General features: G+C 42.1%; 1 protein-coding gene, 1 non-coding gene and 1 pseudogene across 3 annotated transcripts in view; 1 reads left to right on the forward strand and 2 right to left on the reverse strand.

Annotated features, from left to right (window-relative positions):
* KCTD1 (potassium channel tetramerization domain containing 1) overlaps nt 1-20584 on the reverse strand; it is a 202564-nt gene that overhangs the window by 133347 nt on the left and 48633 nt on the right. The window lies entirely within an intron of this gene.
* On the reverse strand, nt 3211-3279 carry MIR8057 (microRNA 8057). Its single transcript, NR_107024.1, has one exon. It is a non-coding gene; the product is annotated as a microRNA 8057 (primary transcript).
* CIAPIN1P (cytokine induced apoptosis inhibitor 1 pseudogene) lies at nt 11063-13071 on the forward strand (annotated as a pseudogene).

The raw sequence follows: 20584 nt of genomic DNA on the forward strand, positions 1-20584 counted from the left end.
AGTGTAAGACTCTGTAGAAAGAAAAGAAAGAAAGAGGGAAAGGAAGGGAAGGGAAGGGAAGGGAAGGGAAAGGGAGGGGAGGGGAGTGGAGGGGAGTGAAAACAGTTTTGACTCACAGACTCCCTGGATAGTTTTTTAGGAACCCCCGGGGTCCCTGGACCACACAGTGAGAACTTCTGGAATACAGATCAGCTGAAAATAATTTGTACTCTGTGGAAAATAGAGTTTGAATGCAGGGGTTTATCAATAAGTATGGAATAGTGACAATTCTGCAGAGTAATGAAGAGTTGGGCACAGCTTTGAAGGGTGACAATTGCCTAGGGAGCAGTTGACATTAGAAACAAGGTAGCTGGTGTGTGTGACACCTGTCATCAGGGGCCCAGAAAGCATTTCTTGGAGGCTGGGCTGTCAAAGAAGCACAGTACAGAGAAGGAGGCGCCAACTTGGGAGGGACTTCAGGCCATTTGGAGTTTGCATGAGATAGGAGACAGTTTGCAAAGCAGAGAGAGGTTCTGGAAGGTTCCTGATACCCCACTGGAGACATCATCCAATCCATTGCTTTTCACACTTTCCACAAGGAGCAGAACTCCTTTTTCACAAGAATCGAATGCAAAGCCCTAATATATACAGTATAGAGCAGTGTGTTGCTTTGGATGAAATATGGAAGAGGTCCATGCGGCTTGGCTTACTTAAGCATGAACTCAGATCCCTAGGCTCCCAGGAAGAGTGGAGGAAACCCACTGATCTAACTGCAAACAATCAGCAGAGCAGGGATAAATACTCTCTAAGGATCCCTCTCCTAGGCATATGTGTAGGGGGAATGGAGGATATGAAGGGAGATACCTGCATGAGGCGACCTCATAATTAAAGGCTCTGTCTAGACCTGTGGCTGTGGGATAAGACCTGGGGGAGGACAGGATGGTAACGTGAATGTGAGTGAGGGCAACAGAGAGACAAGACTCGGGCCTGTGGCTCAGATTTTCAGTCTTGGACCTTGGGTTGGCCACTGGCCACAGGAGGACATTTAGAAAGAGTGAAGAATGAATAACAACATTAACTGAGCATTTATTATATGCAAGCCATTCAGTTAAGCACTTTCCACGAATGGTCTTGTTTCATCCTCATGAAACCTCTATGGGATTTTATGACTTTCCACATTTTATGGAAACAGAATTCAAGAAATTAAGTAACTGGAGCAAAGGGGCATAGGTCTCAGTGGTGGGCCAGGCTATCTGAAATTCTCAGTGTAAAGCCAGTTATATAAAGTCTTTCAGACTTTAAATAAACTTGAAAAGGGTTATCAAAGACATCACAACAATGCTTTCAAAGTATCTTGGCTACTGTGGTAGTTACTATCAATGGCCTAGCCGTTGGCCACTCTCCTTTCTTTCTTGCTAACAGAACCCCATTTTTATTCAGATATCTGGTGGCTGTGTGCATCAAGGAAGGTTAGACCCCTCCCTAGCCCCAGTGGGTCAACCTTGACTGGTATAAGCACAGCATGGTGATTCCATCCCCTGCCAGAAATGAGCACACAAGGCAATTCTGGCCAGTGAGAGAGAAAGGGAAGTTTACTGGGAGACTACTATTATATGTGTCTGCTGATAAAGGGATGCATGGGAAGAAACAGCATCTTCTCTGACTTCATGAAGTCATAACTACATGTGATACCCAGATTATTGGCAGCCACCTTGTGAGCACAAGGGGAGTCGATCTGAGAAGGCAGAACTGAAAGGAGGTAATGCTTCTGTTGTTAAGTTGCCAAATTAGTGAATCCTGGAACAGCCCTATCTCTGTACTTCATAAGTGAATGCGTTATTTTATTTTATTTTATTTATTTTATTTTTGAGACAGTCTTACTGTGTCGCCCAGGCTGGAGTGCAGTGGCATGATCTCAGCTCACTGCAACCTCTGCCTCCTGGGTTCAAGCAGTTCTCCTGCCTCAGCTTCCTGAGTAGCTGGGGTTACAGGCACATGGCACCACACCTGGCTCATTTTTTTTTTTTCACTTTAGTAGAGATGGGGTTTCACCGTGTTGGCCAAGCTGGTCTCAAACTCCTGATCTCAAATGATCTGCCTGCCTTGGCTACCCAAAATGCTGGGATTACAGGCATGAGCCACCGTGCCCGGCTGTGAATGCATTTTGCTCATTTATTAGAAATGTATTAGACCATTTCTGAGTCTGTTATTATTAGTGGCCCAAAGCATCCTAAGCAAATTGTGACTTATATTGCCCTATCTATTTAGAAAGGTCGCTGATCAAGCGATACCTTAAAACGTATGGTTGTTTTGTTTTAGCAAGGCTTCTCTTAGAAAATATAAACTTAACCAGGCCTTCTTTTCTGCTTGTGTGGTACAGTTTTACCTGCTGAAAAATGAATAGCTATTTGCACAGCAATGTTAAAAGGTTACATGATGCAACTGCAAATATTCACTTATTTAGGCTATTGTTTACGTTCCATTATGGATGAAAACTGCCTATATGCATTTTTGGTATTTCTAACTCCAGAAATCTGGATGTATTATACACATGAAGTATCACATTTTATCTTGTGTTCAAGAGATTCTGGCTAGGTCCTACATGGTATCTCTTACAGGGACTAATTTTAAATAAAAACTAATAATTTTTTTCTAAAGGTTTCCATGCCTAATAGTCCTGATGGTGAACCCCAAATCATTGCTGCTTGTTTGACACACCAGGAATGCTTATTACTTATTATATACACTAAGGAGAATATGAAGATCAGTGGTTCAGATTAGATAATGTATATGAAAATCACTGAATTTTTTTTTCAATTGAGTCAGGGTCTTGCTCTGTTGCTCAGGCTGGAGTGCAGTGGTGCAATTATAGCTTGAACTCCTGGCCTCAAGCCATCCTCCTGCCTCAGCCTCCCATGCAGCTGAAACTACAAGTACATACCACTACACCAGCTAATTATTATTATTTTTTCCATAGAGACAGGGTCTCACCTTGTTGTCCAGGCTGGTCTCAAACTCCTGGCTCCAAGCAGTCCTCCTGCCTTGGCCTACCAAAGCGTTGGGATTACAGGCATGTGCCACCATGCAGGGCCTGAAAATACTTTAAATAACTAAATTATTTTCAATCTCCTTTACTCATCTTTTAAGGATAATTTCATCCTTTCAGGAAGGGTTACTGAGATACAAGATAAAGCATGTTGCTCAAGGTCTCCCGACTACTACTACTACTAATAATTTAAAAAGGCCCTGAGCTGGGATTGAACCGCAAGTCCATCTTACTACAGAGCCACATCCCAAATTCTTTTCAAGGTGCAGGGATTTCCCCAAGGCCTTCACCATGGCCACCTTCCTGCAGAAATTGCAATACGTACTAAACTGCTCAAAAGGTGTGCAAAAGGAGAGGGTGGAAGCAACAGACCTCCATACTGTACATACACAGAGTAAGCTGTACAAATTTTCTAGTTACCCTTAAGTCCTGCCTAAGGCAATCAAATAAACAATCTTGGGACACTAAATTATCTAATTCGAACCACCGAACTTTATATTCCTCTTGGTGTATATAATAAATAAATTAGCACTCCTGGTGTGTCAAACAAACCAGCCATGATTTGGAGTTTACCATCAGGACTGTTAGACATGGAAGCATTTTTAAAAAATCAGTTTTTGTGTAAAATTAGTCCCTGTAAGAGATACAATGTGGGACCTAGCCAGAATCTATTGAACACATGATACAATACTATTTTTAACATTAGAGCATAAATCATGCACTGTCTAGTTACTGTGTAAGTAACTACAACTACTAGTTACTTTGTTAGTCTAGTAACAACTTCTGACACCTGGGCATATTCATGAAAGTCTTTACCATGTGTAATAAAGGCTCATACAGAGCTTCGTCACTACAAATTATGAGAATTAAGGTCTCAGTTCCCATCTCTTAAGAGTAGAATTGTCTAATTCTTAAAACCATACTTGAAAAAAATCCCTTATGATACAAAAAGTTAGAAACAGTTTTTTTCTTTACCAGAAAAATAATTTAAATAATCTTTCAAATTATGTAGTTCTTCTGCAGTGAAGTGTAAGAAGATGACAGTGAAATGGCAACATATGCTTTGCTGAGAAAATCAGGAAAAAGAGGAAAAACTCAGAATTCTGCAGTCGCTTTGGGATTGTTCATTTACAATAGTTCCATGGCTACCATCACCAAGCTGTGGGGTCTGTGCCCATCATTCCATGTCCTCCAATCTCTAGTTCTCCCCACAGCATCTGTTCAGGGGTTTCTACCTTGCATGCATACTCACCTCTATTCAGCCCCGCCTAGTAAACCATCACAGTCGATGCTGATGGCCCATCCAACATGAGCCCTATATGTTCTTGCCCTTCTCTACTCCAAAGATCTTGACTTCCATCCAGTTCAGCAACCCACCCCCATGACCACATCCTTGACTTTGTCTTCAGTGGGAAGTGCTCCAGCTCTGAAAACTTAAGCATTATAATCCCCTTTGCTCTGTAACCTTCCATTTTCTACCTTTCTTATGTCCCTGGAAGCAGCTAATCTAATGGGGAAATGGGGGCAAGTTTTAGAAGCAGAGATCTGGGTTTAAAAGTTGGCTCTGCCACTTGCTGGCTGTGTGACCTCAGGTAAATTATATTTCTGAGCCTTATATTCTTTGTCTGTGACATAGTATTTTGCAGGATTGTAAGGTGGGCTGCATATGACTGAAAGCACCTAGCAACACAGCTGATGCTCAGTGAAGCTAATTTCTCCCCTTCCCTCCCGCTTCCTCACACCTATTAACTTTATTGTTCAATCTCACAGAGAATGCTGGTCTCTCCAGTCTCTCGTCCCCCTCTGGGCTTCAAGGTCAGTCATTTCATTTCTCTGATGTTCCACCACATGGCTCAGGTTAACACCAAGCTTGGGACAATGCACCACTTCCATGCTTCACTCTTGCTCTTGGACTGCCCAGAACATTTAGCTTGGCCAGGGAGGCCCTGCACATTTCTGTTTCTGAAGCTTCTCATAAGGGAGGAGGAGGAGGAAGACAAGGAGGAGGAGGAGCAATATGAGGAGAAGGAAGAGGAGGAGGAAGAGGAGGAGGAAGAGGAGGAAGAGGAGGAGGAGGAAGAGGAGGAGGAGGAAGAGGAGGAGGAAGAAGAGGAGGAGGAAGATGAGGAGGAGAAGGAAGAAGATGAGGAGGAGGAGGAAGACAAGGAGGATGAGGAGGAAGACAAGGAGAAGGAGGAGGAAGAAGACAAGGAGGAGGAGGAAGATGAGGAGGAGGAAGAAGACAAGGAGAAGGAGGAGGAAGAAGACGAGGAGGAGGAGGAGGAGGAAGACAAGGAGCAGGAGGAGAAGGACAAGGAGGGAGAAGGAAGACAAGGAGGAGGAGGAAGATGAGGAGGAAGAGAAGGAAGAGGAGGAAGAGGAGGAGGAGGAAGATGAGGAGGAGGAGGAAGAAGATAAGCAGGAGGAGGAAGATAAGGAGGAGGAGAAAGATGAGGAGGAGGAAGACAAGGGGCAGGAGGAGAAGGACAAGGAGGGAGGAGGAAGATAAGGAGGAGGAGGAAGACAAGGAGCAGGAGGAGAAGGACAAGGAGGGAGGAGGAAGACAAGGAGGAAGAGGAGAACAAGGAGGAAGAGGAAGATAAGGAGGAGGAGGAGGAAGATGAGGAGGACGAGGAGGAAGATGAGGAGGAGAAAGAAGAGAAGGGGGGGAGAAGCAGTCAAAACAGGATTATAAAAAGAGTGGAATATTTTATGTTTAGAGGAAATACCCCAACCCCATCCTTGATGCCTTCACTTATGTGGAAGAAGAAATCACATTAGCATAACAAGTGGCATGATTTACCATCTTGTTGAGCTTGAAGGAGCTGGGCTTGGACAGCTCCTCTTCTGCTCTCCAGGCATTTCTCTGTGATCTTCTACTCCATGGTCTAGAAGGGTTGCTCCTTCCTCCTCCTGCTAGGGAAGGCTTAGGTCAAGAGCTGCCAGTGACTGGGAGGGGAAGTTAGCCTAAATCAGTAGAGTATTAGGAAGATCACTTGTCTGCAAATGTATGCTGCATTCTCTAAAATAAGCTTATTTAGTAATATAGGTAAACTTTTGGCATTTGTGTACAGACTTATTTCTTAATTGATGTCTAGAAGTCAGGTGGAGGAGAGAAGTGATTTTTGTTGGGTCTCCTTAAAATCCTAAAGTTTATATTTAACAAATTAAGTCTTTTAAAGTTAAGAATATAGTGCACATATAATTGTGCTGTTCCTATGACAGAGAAATTAAGACAAAAATCACAGTAAACCCTAGGTGAGGGGATCCAGGTAACTGCAGCACAAATGCGTTGCAATCAGAGAGTATCTGCTCCTTTCAAGCCTGTTACTGGATCTGCAGGCCCTGGTGATGGCTAACTTTATGTCAACTCAGCTAGGCTGCGGTGCCCAAATGTCTGGTCAACCAACAGTCTAGACGCTGCTGAGAAGATATTTTGGAATGAGATTAACATTTAAATCAGTGGAGCAGATTACCCCCCATCATGTGAGTGGGCCTCATCCAGTCAGTGGAAGGCCTTTAGAGAAACGATTGAGGCCCCCAGGAAGCAGGAATTCTATCTCCAGGCTGTTTTTGGACTCTGGGCTGCAACATCAACAACTTCCAGCCCACCTGCCAGACCTGCAGATTTGGGACTTAGCAGCCCTCATAATTATGTGAGCCAATCCCTTAGAATAAATATCTCTCTCTCCATTTTCCTCTCCCCCAACTCCTCCCCTCTCCCTCTCCCACTTTTCCTCTCCCCACTCTTCTGCTCTTTATCTCTCTCCTCTCTTCATCTAATTGATTCTGTATCTCTGGAGAACTCTGACTCATACAGACCCTTTTCCTCGATGTATAACTCTATTTAGACATTAAGTTGAAAGTCTAAATTTAGGGCTTGATGAATGATTTCAGGCCTGGCACAAGGGGCTTCCTCACTACCCCCTACCCCATTCCTGTGATAGGTCCTGAGCATCACCATACATTTCTTATTTCCAACTTCACCTCAGCCCTCAGTTTCCTTAGAATTCCTTCATTCTTCTCTGATATGGCAGAAGCCACAAGTGCATCTCTAGTAACCTGTCTCCATTCTTCAGTAGAAACAGAATCCCAGTTTTTAGGTAAACATTTGGCCCTCTAGAATAAAGATCACATTTTCTAGTTTCCCTTGCAGTTAGGCTTTGGCACGTGACTATATTCTGGTCAATGGATGTTAGAGGGAGGGGCCTGCACAACTCGTGGGCGATGTCCTTCCTTCCTCCTTCTTGCTGGCAGAATGGAGGGGCTAGACTGCCACAAAGTGACTTTGGGATAAGAAGCCACACACAGAGGAGCAATCACAGAGAAGTGCCTATGTGCCCTGCATTGTGCCACCACCACCTACCTGAGGCTCATCACTGCTGGACTTCTTGGGCTTCCATTTACTTTTAGGTAGACCCTCTTCTAAGTTTTGTATTGAATAAGGCAAAGCTTTAACATTAGAAATGTATTGTAGGCTGGGTTCATTGGCTCACACCGGTAATCCCAGCACTTTGGGAGTCCAAGGTGGGAGGACTGCTTGAGACCATGAGTTCAAGACCAGCCTGGGCAACATAGCAAGACCCTATCTCTACAAAAAATAATTTTAAAAAGTTAGCCAGGTGTGGTAGTGTGCCCCTGTAGTCCTAGCTACTCAGGAAGCTGAGGAGGTGGGAGGATCACTTGAGCCCAGAAGTTCAAGGCTTTAGTGAACCATGATCACACTACTGCACTGCAGCTAGGCAACAGTGTGAGACTTTGTCTCAAAAGAAAAATTAAAAATAACTAAAAATAAAGTAATGTAATCCTAATTGTAATGGACTGAATGTTTGTATCCCCCACAGATTCATGTGTTGAAGCCCTAACTCGCATGTGATAATATTTGGAGATGGGGTCTTTGGAAGGTAACTAGGGTTAGGTAAGGCCATGAGGGTGAGACCTTCGAGATGGGATTAGTGCCCTTATAGGAAGATATACCAGAAAGCTCTCTCTCTCTCTCTTTCTTCTTTTTGTGTGCACAAAGAAAGGTCATTTGAACACACAGTAAAAAAAGGTGATCATCTACAAGACAGAAAGAGAGCCCTCACCAGAAAGTGAATCCTGCAGGACCTTGCTCTTGGACTTTCCATCCTCTAGAACTGTAAGAAAATAAATTTCTGTTGTTTAAGTCACCTAGTCTATGCTATTTTGTTATGGCAGCCCGAGGGGACTTAATTCTAATTAAACACTAATTCTGACTCATGTGTACCTGGCAAGGGATTTCTGATGAGGGAGTTTGGTGGTTAAACAACTGATGCTTTGAATTCAGATAGATTTGCATTTGGACTCTACATTACCAACAAGAGCTGGGTAATCTTGACTAAGCTGGTTTACCACCTTAAATATCAGGTTCTTCTTCTGAAAAATGGAGGTAATATTCAATTTACAAGGTTTTTGTGAAGACTAAATCAATGTGCCGAGCACAAAGTAATAGTTTACTAAATGACAGGTAGCCATTGCTACTGTTGTTAAGAATGTTACTACTCTCTATAATGTTTGTCTTAAACATTCTTCTCTCTTCAAGCCTTGAGTTCCATTTCCGTTAATCTAAGAGATGTTAGTTGGAACTGCTGATGAAAGAGTTCTTAAAATCACATATGGCTCTTTGATTTCCTCTTTCCCATCCACTTTCCTTCTTGAAAAATTTGGTTGTAACACCACTAGAGCAGAGCCAAGTGGTCCTATGGGCCTGCTCTGGGGAAGCTGCAGTGACCCAGAGAAGGCACTGGAGTCTCGGTGGGTAAAGAGAATATATGTGTAGGAGGGCTGCTTGTTGTAGGAATAGGAGTCCCATGGGGTGAGGAGGACCTCCATGTGGGAGGGGAAACTGGCTCAGGTCACTGGAGCCCAGGCAAGTTGAGGAGGGTACCCCCAGAGAGGGAACACCGAGATGAAAGTTAGAGCCTGAGGTGAAAGCACAAGGGCATCCCATAAAGGAGTGGCCTAGTGTGGGCTGCTGGGGCCTGAGCAAGGTGATGATGATGTGCACATGGGAGGAAGGAACAAACTTGAGGTGTGGAGACTGAGAGGAGGGCATTGTGCAGGGAGGGGCAGCAGTGGTAATATTGATTACATACAGGGGCCTGATCAGATAATATCCTGTATCATATAGGATGGAAGATAACTACCCTGTGATTAGGGACTGGAATTGGAGGTATTGGTATGAGCTGAAGTTTTGCAAGATAAGCAGATATAAAAACAAATGGGTATTTTTTGTAAACAAAAGGTGTTAATAACTATGTGTATGTACATACATGCTTCCTAACTCTTTCCACTGAGAGAGTCTGGGAGCAAACACAGCAGTAGCAATGAACACACCTAGTACTGAGGTCTTGGTGTTTTTTTTTTTTTTTTTTGGAGTCTTGCTCTGTCACCTAGGCTGGAGTGCAATGGCACGCTCTCAGCTCACTGCAACCTCCACCTCCCCGGTTCAAGCAATTCTCCTGCCTCAGCCTCCCAAGTAGCTGGGATTACAGGGGTCCGCTGCCACATCCAACTAATTTTTGTATTTTTAGTAGAGACAGGGTATCATCGTGTTAGCCACACTGGTTTTGAACTCCTGACCTCAAGAGATCTGCCTACCTCAGCCTCCCAAAGTGCTGGGATTACAGGCGTGAGCCACCGCACCTGGCCCTTGGCTTCTAGATACTATTGCTCAGTGCAAGAAACCAGAACTTCTTGGAGAAATGATGGGTTCCAAGGCTGATTCTAAGACACTGTACTCATTGACAATCACTTCCCATTCTGACTTCCCCTCAACTCCTAGCAACCACTAATCAATCAGCTTGACTTCCCCTCAACTCCTAGCAACCACTAATCAATCAGCTTGCTGTCTCTATGAATCCTGTACCTATTCTGGACATTTCATGTAGATGGAATCATAGAATATATGACCTTTGTGTTTGGCTTCTTGAAGTTAGCTCGTTTACAAGGTTCATCCATATTGTTCCATGTATCAGAACTTCATTTGTTTTCATGGCTGAATAATATTCCATGTAGGGATGTACTCCCTTCTGTTATCCAGTCATTAGCTGATGGACACTGAGATTGTTTTCAGATTGTTTTCACTGTTAGACTATTATAAATGACGCTGGAATGAACATTCATGTATAAGCTTTTGTATGGATATATGTTTTCAATTCTCTTTTTTTACACACACACACACACACACACACACGTTTTTGATTTTCTAGGAGTACAAATGTGGGGCCATATGGTAGTACTATCTTTAACTTTTTTGAGGGACTTCAAAATTGTTTCCAAAGCAGCTTCACAAGTTTACATTCCCATCAGCTGTGTTTGAGAATTCCTATTTCTCCACATCCTAACCAACACTTGTTATTGTCTGTGTTTTAAATTATATAGCTATCCTAAGTGGGTGTGAGTATCTCATTGTAGTTTTGATTTGCATTTCCCTAATGACTAATAAGATTGAGCATCTTTTTATGCGCTTATTGGCCATTCATATATATTCTTTGGAAAAATCTCTCTTTAAATTCTTTGCCTATTTTAAATAGGTTTATTTGTTTTTTATTGATGAGTTGTGAGGGTTCTTTATATATTCGCAATGCAAATCTTTTATCAGATTATGATTTATAAACATTTTTTCCTATTCTGTGGGTTGTCTTTTGGACTTTCTTCATGATGTCTTTTGTAGCAAGAATGGTTTTAATTTTGATAAAGTCCAAATTGTCTATTTTTTCTTTTGTTACTTGTGTTTTTGGTATCACATCTAAGATACTATTGACAAATCCAAGATCACAAAGATTTAGTTCAATGTTTTCTTCTAAGAGTTTTACTATCTTAGCTCTTAGAATTAGTTATGATCTTTTTTTGTATGTGATAATTTTATAAATGGTATAATGTATGATGACTTTTATTTCATTTTTGTCACATTCTTTTGCATGTAGATATCCAGTTGTTCCAGCAAAAGTTGTTGAAAAGACTATTCCTTCTCCATTGAATTGTTTGGTGCTCTTTTAGAAATTCAATTGACTGGGGGAGAAGCCGGGAGCGAGCCCAGGTGGCAGTCTTGATTCTCTTTTGGCTAGCAGTTTTTAGGTCTGTCAGTACTGCACTGCAAGAATGGCAGATTTTGGGATCTCTGCTGGCCAGTTTGTGGCAGTGGTCTGGGATAAGTCATCCCCAGTGGAGGCTCTGAAAGGTCTGGTGGATGAGCTTCAAGGTTAACTGGCAATGAGGGCCGTGGGTCTGTGGAAAACATGAACCAGCTGTTGCAGTCTGCCCACAAAGAATCCAGCTTTGACATTATTTTGTCGGGTTTAGTCCCGGGAAGCACCACTCTGCACAGTGCTGAGATTTTGGCTGAAATCACCCAGATCCTTCGGCCTGGTGGATGTCTTTTTCTGAAAGAGCCAGTAGAGACAGCTGTAGATAACAATAGCAAAGTGAAGACAGCATCTAAGCTGTGTTCACCCTGACTCTTTCTGGTCTTGTGGAAGTGAAAGAGCTGCAGCGGGAGCCCCTAACCCCTGAGGAAATACAGTCTGTTCGAGAACACCTTGGTCATGAAAGTGACAGCCTGCTGTTTGTTCAGATCACAGGCAAAAAGCAAAACTTTGAAGTGGGTTCTTCTAGTCAGCTTAAGTTTTCCATCACCAAGAAGTCTTCTCCTTCAGTGAAGCCTGCAGTGGACCCTGCTGCTGCCAAGCTGTGGACCCTCTCAGCCAACGATATGGAGGACGACAGCATGGATCTCATTGACTCAGATGAGCTGCTGGATCCAGAAGATTTGAAGAAGCCAGATCCGGCTTCCCTGCAGGCTGCTTCTTGTGGGGAAGGGAAAAAGAGGAAGGCCTGTAAGAACTGCACCTGTGGCCTTGCCAAAGAACTGGAAAAAGAGAAGTCAAGGGAACAGATGAGCTCCCAGCCCAAGTCGGCTTGTGGAAACTGCTACCTGGGTGATGCCTTCCGCTGTGCCAGCTGCCCCTACCTTGGGATGCCAGCCTTCAAACCTGGGGAAAAGGCACTTCTGAGCAATAGCAATCTTCATGATGCCTAGGAAGGGCCTGACATGGGACCCATCTGCTCCTCCAGCCAACTCCTGTCCCTCAAATCCCACCACGGTGTCTCCTCCCACCTCCTCTGGATTTGTTCACTCTGAGATCTATTTGCAGAGTGGGTGCTTAGCAGACAGAGTGAAGCTGGCTGGGGGGGGTGCAGTGGTGTGTAGTGCTGCTGTGTATCAAAAGACCAAGGTATTATGGGGCCCGGTTACTCAGCACGGGATGGGTTTCTTCACCTCATGTTAAGAGAAGGGAGTGTGTCCTGAAGAAGCCCTTCTTCTGATGTTAAAATGCTGACCAGAACACTCTTGAGCCCAGGCATCCTTGAGCATTAACACTCTAACAGAGCTGCAGACCCCTGCCCTGAGTCTCATCTCAGCAATGCTGCCACCTGCTTGTCTTTCAGAGTTGATAGTTTACTCCATTCTTTGTGACACGAGTCAAGTGTCTCACAACCTCCTCAGGGCACCAGAGGACTCACTCACTGGTTGCTGTGATGATACCCAGTGTCCCTCTGCCCCCTTCCATCCCCAACCACATTTTACTGTAGCATTGCATCTGTGTCCTGTTGTCATTTATGTTAACCTTCAGGTATTAAACTTGCTGCATATCTTGAGATATCTTGAGATTCTGCATGTCTTGTAAAGAGAGGGGATGTGCATTTGTGTGTGATGTTGGATAGTCATCCATGCTCAGTTTGGACCATTGGAGGAACTTAGTGTCACACACAAATGGGGCTAGTCCTACGCTTAGAATAGGGCCTGTCTGCCCACTTTAGAAGAGCCCAGGTTGATGAGCATTTAGAGGGAAGCAGGGCAGAACTCTGAACAACAATAAGTCTCTCTGAGCAGAGACCCCTTTGTTCTTGTTACCCACCCGTACGGACTTGGGGTCTATCTTGCCAAATATTTGGAGAGATTGTGTGGATTTAAGAGACCTGGATTTTTATATTTTGCCAGTAAATAAAAGTGTTCATTGGTAAAAAAAAAAAAAAAAAAAAAAAGAAAGAAATTCAATTGACCATAAATGTAAAGGCATACTTCTGGACTCTCAGTTCTATTCCATTAATCTATATGACTATCCTTATGTCAGCATCATATCTATATATCTATCCTTATGATTACTGGAGCATTTATTAAGTTCTTAAATTGAGGAAAGTGTGAGTATTCCAACTTTGTTCTTCCTTTTCAAGATGTGATGCAACAAACACAGCCGTGATTTTGATGGAGACTGCATTGAATCTGCAGATCAATTTGGGGAGCACTGCCATCTTAACAATACTATGTCTTCCAATCCATGAACATAGTATGCCTTTCCAATTCTTTAGGTCTTTAATTTTCTTCAACATAATTTGTAGTTTTCAGTTTACAAATCTTGCATTTCCTTTGTTAACTTTATTCCTAGATTTTTTGCTGCAATTATAAATGGAAATGTTTACTTAATTTTATTATTGTATTGTTCATTATTAGTGTATACAATTGATTTTTAGTATTGATCTTGTATCATGCAACCTTGCAGAACTTGTTTGTTTTTATCATTTTTGGTGGATTTCTTAGTATTTTATATATTAAAAATTTATGTCACCTGAGGATAGTTTTACTTCTTCCTTTCTCATATTTATGCCTTTATTTCAATTTCTTGCCTAATTGCCCTTACCAGAACCTCCAGGTACACTTCCATGATGAATGGAAGTGATGAGAACAGACATTCTTCTTGTGTTACTGACTTTAGGGGAAATGGCTAGTCTTTCACAATTAAGTATGATGTTAGTTGTGGGGTTTTCATAAATGTCTTTATTGGGTTGAGGAAGTTATTTAGTGGTTTTATCATGAAAGGGTGTTGAATTTTGCCAACTGATTTTTCTGTGTCAATTGAGATTTTTGTCCTTTATTCTATTACTATGGTATAAGACATGATTGATTTTCATGTTAAACCAACCGTGTCTTCTTGGGATAAATCTCATTTGATCATGGTTTCATATATTGCTGGATTCCATTTGTATTCTGTTGAAAATTTTTACATCTATATTTATAAGAAATGTGGGTATAGTTTTTCTGTCTTGTGATGGCTTTATCTGATTTTGTTATCAGGGTAATGCTGACTTCATAGAATAAGTTGGGAATTGTTCTCTCCTCTTTCATTTTTTGAAAGTATTTAATTATTTATGCTTAGGCATAACAAGCAAATGGTATAAAATACCAGAGATTCAAAAGTGTTTTTAGTATCAGATTAAGTCATCCAGGTCCCTCTTCCAGAGTCTCATCACACAATTCCTCTCTCCAGAGGTAAAGATCTTTATCTGTTTCTTCCACAGGCATCAGGAACTTATCAGCTACATGATAGATCTCATAAATTCCCCTTAGAGATCTGTTCTTCCTCCTGGGTTAATAACATCATGATCCACATAAACTTAAGTTCTCCTTCCACAGCTGTATCAGTTCAGCATATGCTCACCTGCGAATAACAAATATCCTAAAGAACAAAGGGCCTAAATATGAGAATAGTAGTTTATTTCTCTTTCATTTGATACTACAAAGCAACAGTAACCAAAACAGCATAGTAGTGGTACAAAAACAGGCACATAGACAAATGGAACAGAATGGAGAGCCCAGAAATAAGGCCACACATCTACAACCATCTGATCTTTGACAAGGCTGACAAAAACATGCAATGGGGAAGAGAGGCCTATTCAATAAATGGTGTGGGAGAACTGGCTAGCCATATGCAGAAGATTGAAGCTGACCCTCTTCCGTATAGCATATACAAAAATCAACTCAAGATAGATTAAAGACTTAAATGTAGGCCAGGCCCAGTGGCTCACACCTGTAATCCCAGCATTTTGGGAGGCTGAGGCAGGTGGATTGCTTGAGTCCAGGAGTTTGAGATCAGCCTGGGCAACATGGTGAAACCTTGTCTGTACTAGAAATACAAAAAAACTAGCCAGACATGGTGGTACACGCCTCTAGTCCCACGTACTTGGGAGACTGAGGTGGGAGAATCACCTCAGCCTAAGAGGTTGAGGCTGCAGTGAACCAAGATTGCCCCACTGCACTCCAGCCTGGGCAACTGGAGTGAGACCCTGTTAAAAAAAAAAAAAAAAGACTTAAATGTAAGCCAGGTACTATGGCTCATGCCTGTAATTCCAGCACTTTGGGAGGCCGAGGTGGGCGGATCACCTGAGGCCAGGAGTTCAAGACCAGCCTGGCCAATATATGATGAAACCCCGCCTCAACTAAAAATACAAAAATTAGCCAGGTGTGGTGGCATGCTCCTGTTATCCCAGCTATTCGGCAGGCTGAGGCAGGAGGATCACCTGAACCTGGGAGGCAGAGGGTGCAGTGGGCCGAGATTGTGCCACTGCACTCCAGGCTGAATGACAGAGTGAGACTGTGTCTCAAAAAAATAAAATAAATAAATAAATAAATAAATAAATAAATAAATAAAACCCCACACTATGAAAACCCTAGGAGAAAACCTGGGCAATACCAGCCCATACATTGGAAAAGGTATCTGAAAAAGACGTCAAAAGTAATCACAACAAAAGCAAAAATTGACAAATGGGATCTAATTAAACTTAAGAGCTTCTGCACACAGAAAAAAGAAAGCTATCAACAGAGTAAACAGACAACCTACAGAATGGGAGAAAATATTTGCGAACTATGCATCTGACAAAGGTCTAATATCTAGCATCTATAAGGAACTTAAACAAATTTACAGGAAACAAACAGACAACCCCATTTAAAAAGTGGGCAAAGGACATGAACAGACACTTTCCAAAAGAAGACATACATGTGGCCAACAAGTATATGAAAAGAAGCTCCATACCACTGATCATTAGAGAAATGCAAATCAAAACCACAATGAAATACCATCTCACATAGTCAGAATGGCTATTATTAAAAAGTCAAAAAAATAACAGATTCTGGCAAGGTTGTGGAGAAAAAGAAACACTTACATACTGGTGAGAGTTTAAATTAGTTCAACCATTGTGGAAAGCAGTATGGCAACTTCTCAAAGAGCTAAAAGCAGAACTACCATTTGACCCAGCAATCCCATTACTGGGTATATACCCAGAGGAATATAAATCATTTTACCATAAAGACACATGCACACAAATGTTTACTGCAGGACTATTCACAATAGCAGGATATGGAATCAACCTAAATGTCTATAAAGAAAATGTGGTACATATACACCATGGAATACTATGCAGCCATAAAAAATGAGATCATGTCTTGCAGGAACATAAATGGAGCTGGAGGCTATTATCCTTAGCAAACTAACACAGGAACAGAAAACCAAATACTGCATGTTCTCACTTACAAGTGGGAGCTAAATGATGAGAACTCATGAACACAAAGAAAGGAACAACAGACACAGGCGTCTACTTGAGGGTGAAGGGTGGGAGGAGGGAGAGGAGCAGAAAAGATAACTCTTGGATACTGGGTTTAATACCTGGGTGATGAAATAATCTGTACAATTAATCCCTGTGAAATGAGTTTATCTATGTAACAAACCTTCACATATATCCCTGAACCTAAAATAAAAGTTAAAAAAAAATAAAGAAACTCAGGAAGTAGGCCTGCAGTCCAGGGCTGACTTGGTGACTTTATTACCTCTTTAGGAACCCAGGTTCCTTCTAGCTCACTACCCTGCCATCCTCAGAGTATAGCCTTTATCCTCCTGTCCCAAAAATGGATTACTGTGTTCCAGGCAATAGGGTAGAGAAGGAAAAAGAAACAGACAAAGGGCATGCCTCAGCCGTCTTTTAGTAAAGGTTCAGGAAATCACCACATGACACATCTGTTCCGTTTCATTGATCGGGATGTACTCATATGGTCTCACTTAGCTGCAAGGGAAGCTGGGAGATGTGGTCTTTATTTTGAGTCAACATGGGCTGTCTACAATCGAGGGTCTTATTATGAAAAAAGAAGAGAGACAACAAATTAGTTACAACCACACATTCGACCTGGCAATTTTGCCCCAATTTTTCCCCAAATGTATCACCCTTTTTCCTTTGCCATTCCTCCCTTACACAAGTCCTTATAGCTTCTCACCTGAATTACTATGGTACTGTAGCTTCTTAACTGTGTGTTTTTTTAAAATTCCAATCTCTTCCCTTCAGAAAATTTTTCATTATATCTTTTCTGAAATAAATATGTAATCCCATCAAACCTTCAATGGTTTTCCAATTGCCTCCAGAAAAAATTTCCAACTCCTACATGTGGCTTCCAAGTTTCATTCATGACCTGGCCCTAGACCACTGTTATAGCTGTAGCTTCTGTCTGTCTCTCTTTCTCTACTTGAACTTTTTGCTCAAGCCACACCTAAATCCTGTCCCCACCCACCCCCCTAAATACACCATATATATATCTCTATATCTATCTATCTATCTATCTATCTATCTATCTATCTATCTATCTATATTACATCTTAGTAACTGTGGTAGATCGATTACAAAAATTGTTTACCCTTCTCTTTGCAGTGTGACTTTTGTGAACCCAAAAGTATCTGAGACAGGTCTCAATCAATTTAGCAAGCTTATTTTGCTGAGGTTAAGGACATGCCTGTGACACAGCCTCAAGAAGTCCTGACAACATGTGCCCAAGGTGGTTGGGGCATGGCTTGCTTTTAGGGAGACATCAGTCAATACATGTAAGACTTACATTGGTTCAATCTGGAAGGGTGGGACAGCTCAAAGCAGGAGATTTCAGGTCATAGGTAGATTTAAAAATGTTCTGATTGGCAATTGGTTGAAATAGTTATTATCAATAGAAAGAAATGTCTGGGTTAAGATAAGGGGTTGTGGAGACCAAGGTTTTATCATGTAGATTAAGCCTTCAGGTAGCAGGCTTCAGAGAGATTAGTTTGTAAATGTTTCTTAAGGCCTGTGTTGATGTTAATGCCAGTTGGCTTTTCCTGAATTTCAAAAGGGAGGAGGGTATGATGAGGCATGTCTGACTGCCCCTTCCCATCATGGCTGAACCAGTTTTTTAGGTTAACTTTGGAATGCCCTTGGCCAAGAGGAGAGGTTCATTCAGACAGTTGGGGGGCCTTAGAATTTTAGTTTTGGTTTACACTTTGTAGCTCCTTCCATCAAGAGATGGGTCCACTACCCCACTCTTTGAATCTGGCTGGCCTCGTGACTTGCTGGGGCAATGGAATGTGTGTGAAATAACTACATGCTAGTTCTGAGTGAGAGCCTAAAGAGGCCGTGTGTGCTTCAGCGATCTCTTGAACCTGTCTCCGTCATTAGAATAAGCCTGGCCTAGCCTGCTAGATGATGAGAGGCCAAGTGCAGTGCTGCACATCATCCCAGTCAAGGCCAGTTCTGACCATCGAGCCCTTGGCTGACCTGCTGGCCGACCTCAGCTCTGTAAGCCAGACCATTCAAGATCAGCCAAGTCAGACTCAGGTCAGCATAATGGCTTAGGTGACACATAGACTCGTGTAACATAAAGACTGGTTGCTGCTTTAAGCCACTAAGCTGTGGGAGACAGTATTCACTATGGAATTAGATCAAGGACACAGTGCTTTTGCATGTGCTATTCCTTCACCTTAAAATGCCTATTTCTTTTTTTCAGCTTAGTAAACTCCTAAACTTATCTTTCTATCAAGACCCAGATCAAATATAATCTTAACTGGAAAAGTTTCTTGTCCCTACCTGGGCAGATCTAGCTGCTTTCTTTCTTTTTTATTTTTTTATGAGACAGGGTCTTGCTCTGTTGCCCAGGCTAGAGTGCAGTGGCACAATCATAGCTCACTGTCACCTCTGACTCCTGGGCTCAAGCAATCCTCTGACTTCAGCCTCCTCAGTAGCTGAGACGATAGGTGCAAGCCACCAAGCCAAGCTAATTTAAAATAATTTTTTTAGAGATGGGATCTTGCTGTGTTGCCAAGGCTGGTAACTTTGGCCTCAAGTGATACTCCTGCCTCAGCCTCCTGAGTAATTGGGATTACAGGCATGAGCCACGTGCCTGGCTAGAAACTTTTTTGACAAACCTCACACCTCTATTATAGCATGTAACATATAGATACTTGTTCACACAGCCATTTCTCCTTTTGGCTGAGCTAGCTGAGGGCAAGGACAACCTATCCTATGATGTGCACCAAAAATATCTTTTGCACAAATGAAAACATAAATTCTAGGATGTTAAGCATATGTAATTCTTTCTCTTTTATTCTCTTTCTTCCAAACAATAAATATAGTTTCTTATAATGCCTAGGTCTTTCCTTCCATAATATGTCACCACTCACCCAAATTTCAGTCACTGATCACATATTGGAGGATGTGTTTATACCTCTTTTTCCTTCTCATGTGTGGCTTTTAAGCCCATGCAGTGTCATATTTTCATTGATTGGTAATTTCCCGTATTGAACAGTCATGTTACTCCTTGAAGTTTTTGAATTCTTTTATTTTTTAAATTCATTTACTTTTTGAGACAGGGTCTTACTCTGTCATCCAGGCTGGAGTGCAGTGGTGTGATCTTGGTTCACTGCAGCCTCAAACTCCCAGACTCAAGTGATCCCCCTGCCTTAGCCTCCCAAGTAGCTGGGACTACAGGTGTGCACCACCATACCTGGCTAATTTTTAAAAATTTGTTTGTAGAGTTGGGGTCTCACTATGTTGCCCAGACTGGTTTCAAACTCCTGACCTCAAGCAATCTTCCCACCTCAGCCTCCCAAAGTGCTGGGATTACAGGTGTGAGCCACTGCACCTGGTCTCAAATTCTTAAAGTTTCTCAATTGTTTGATTTAGTTTTCAACTACATTCACCACTACTCTTGTAAATAAATTTTAAAAGTTTACCTGTTAGCTTTTTAAATTTTAAATTTTTAATGTTTAAAATAATCCTTTGAATGCATTGCTTACTTTTAATGTTACTATTGTCAGTTTCCTTACACTGTTTGATCTCTTGTCTTACCTGCTTCACTAATTTTCTATTTCCAAGTGAGAGTGGAGATGGCTGAGAAAATTGTTCTAACCACAGGCTAATTGGCAACTAGGTAGGATCTTGTGATCTGTGGTTTTTCAGTTCTTTAGTTCAACCGATTCACCTAGAGCTTCATTTGTTATGTGCCAGTTGGACATGGCTCAAGCATCAGTTCTTAGTGCAAAATGATGTTTGTGACAGAAAGAACCTGAAGAAAGGCACGAAAGCCATCCTTCTGCTCACTGTAGCATTCCCAGAAGGAGCCTGGGGGAGCACAGCAGTCCATATGGGGCAGGGTCGGTGGGCTGCTCCCACCCTCTGCACTGTCACCCCCCAGCCCGCTGCCCCCTCATTATTCTTTGTTGTATTTTATGTGTCAGTCCCCAAATTTCTGAATGTATAATTAATCACCTCCTAAGTCTTATTGTGCACAGTGATGCTTTACCCACTTTATATTGAACACAGTATATTTGATTATTTTGAAGAAGGAAATCCATCGGCAAGAAGTGAGCTGCGTCTTTTCTGCAAGTTCTGATTTCATCAGAAAGCTCTTCTGGAACA

Source organism: Homo sapiens, chromosome 18 (assembly GCF_000001405.40).
Source record: "Homo sapiens chromosome 18, GRCh38.p14 Primary Assembly".
NCBI classification, from domain to species: domain Eukaryota; kingdom Metazoa; phylum Chordata; class Mammalia; order Primates; family Hominidae; genus Homo; species Homo sapiens.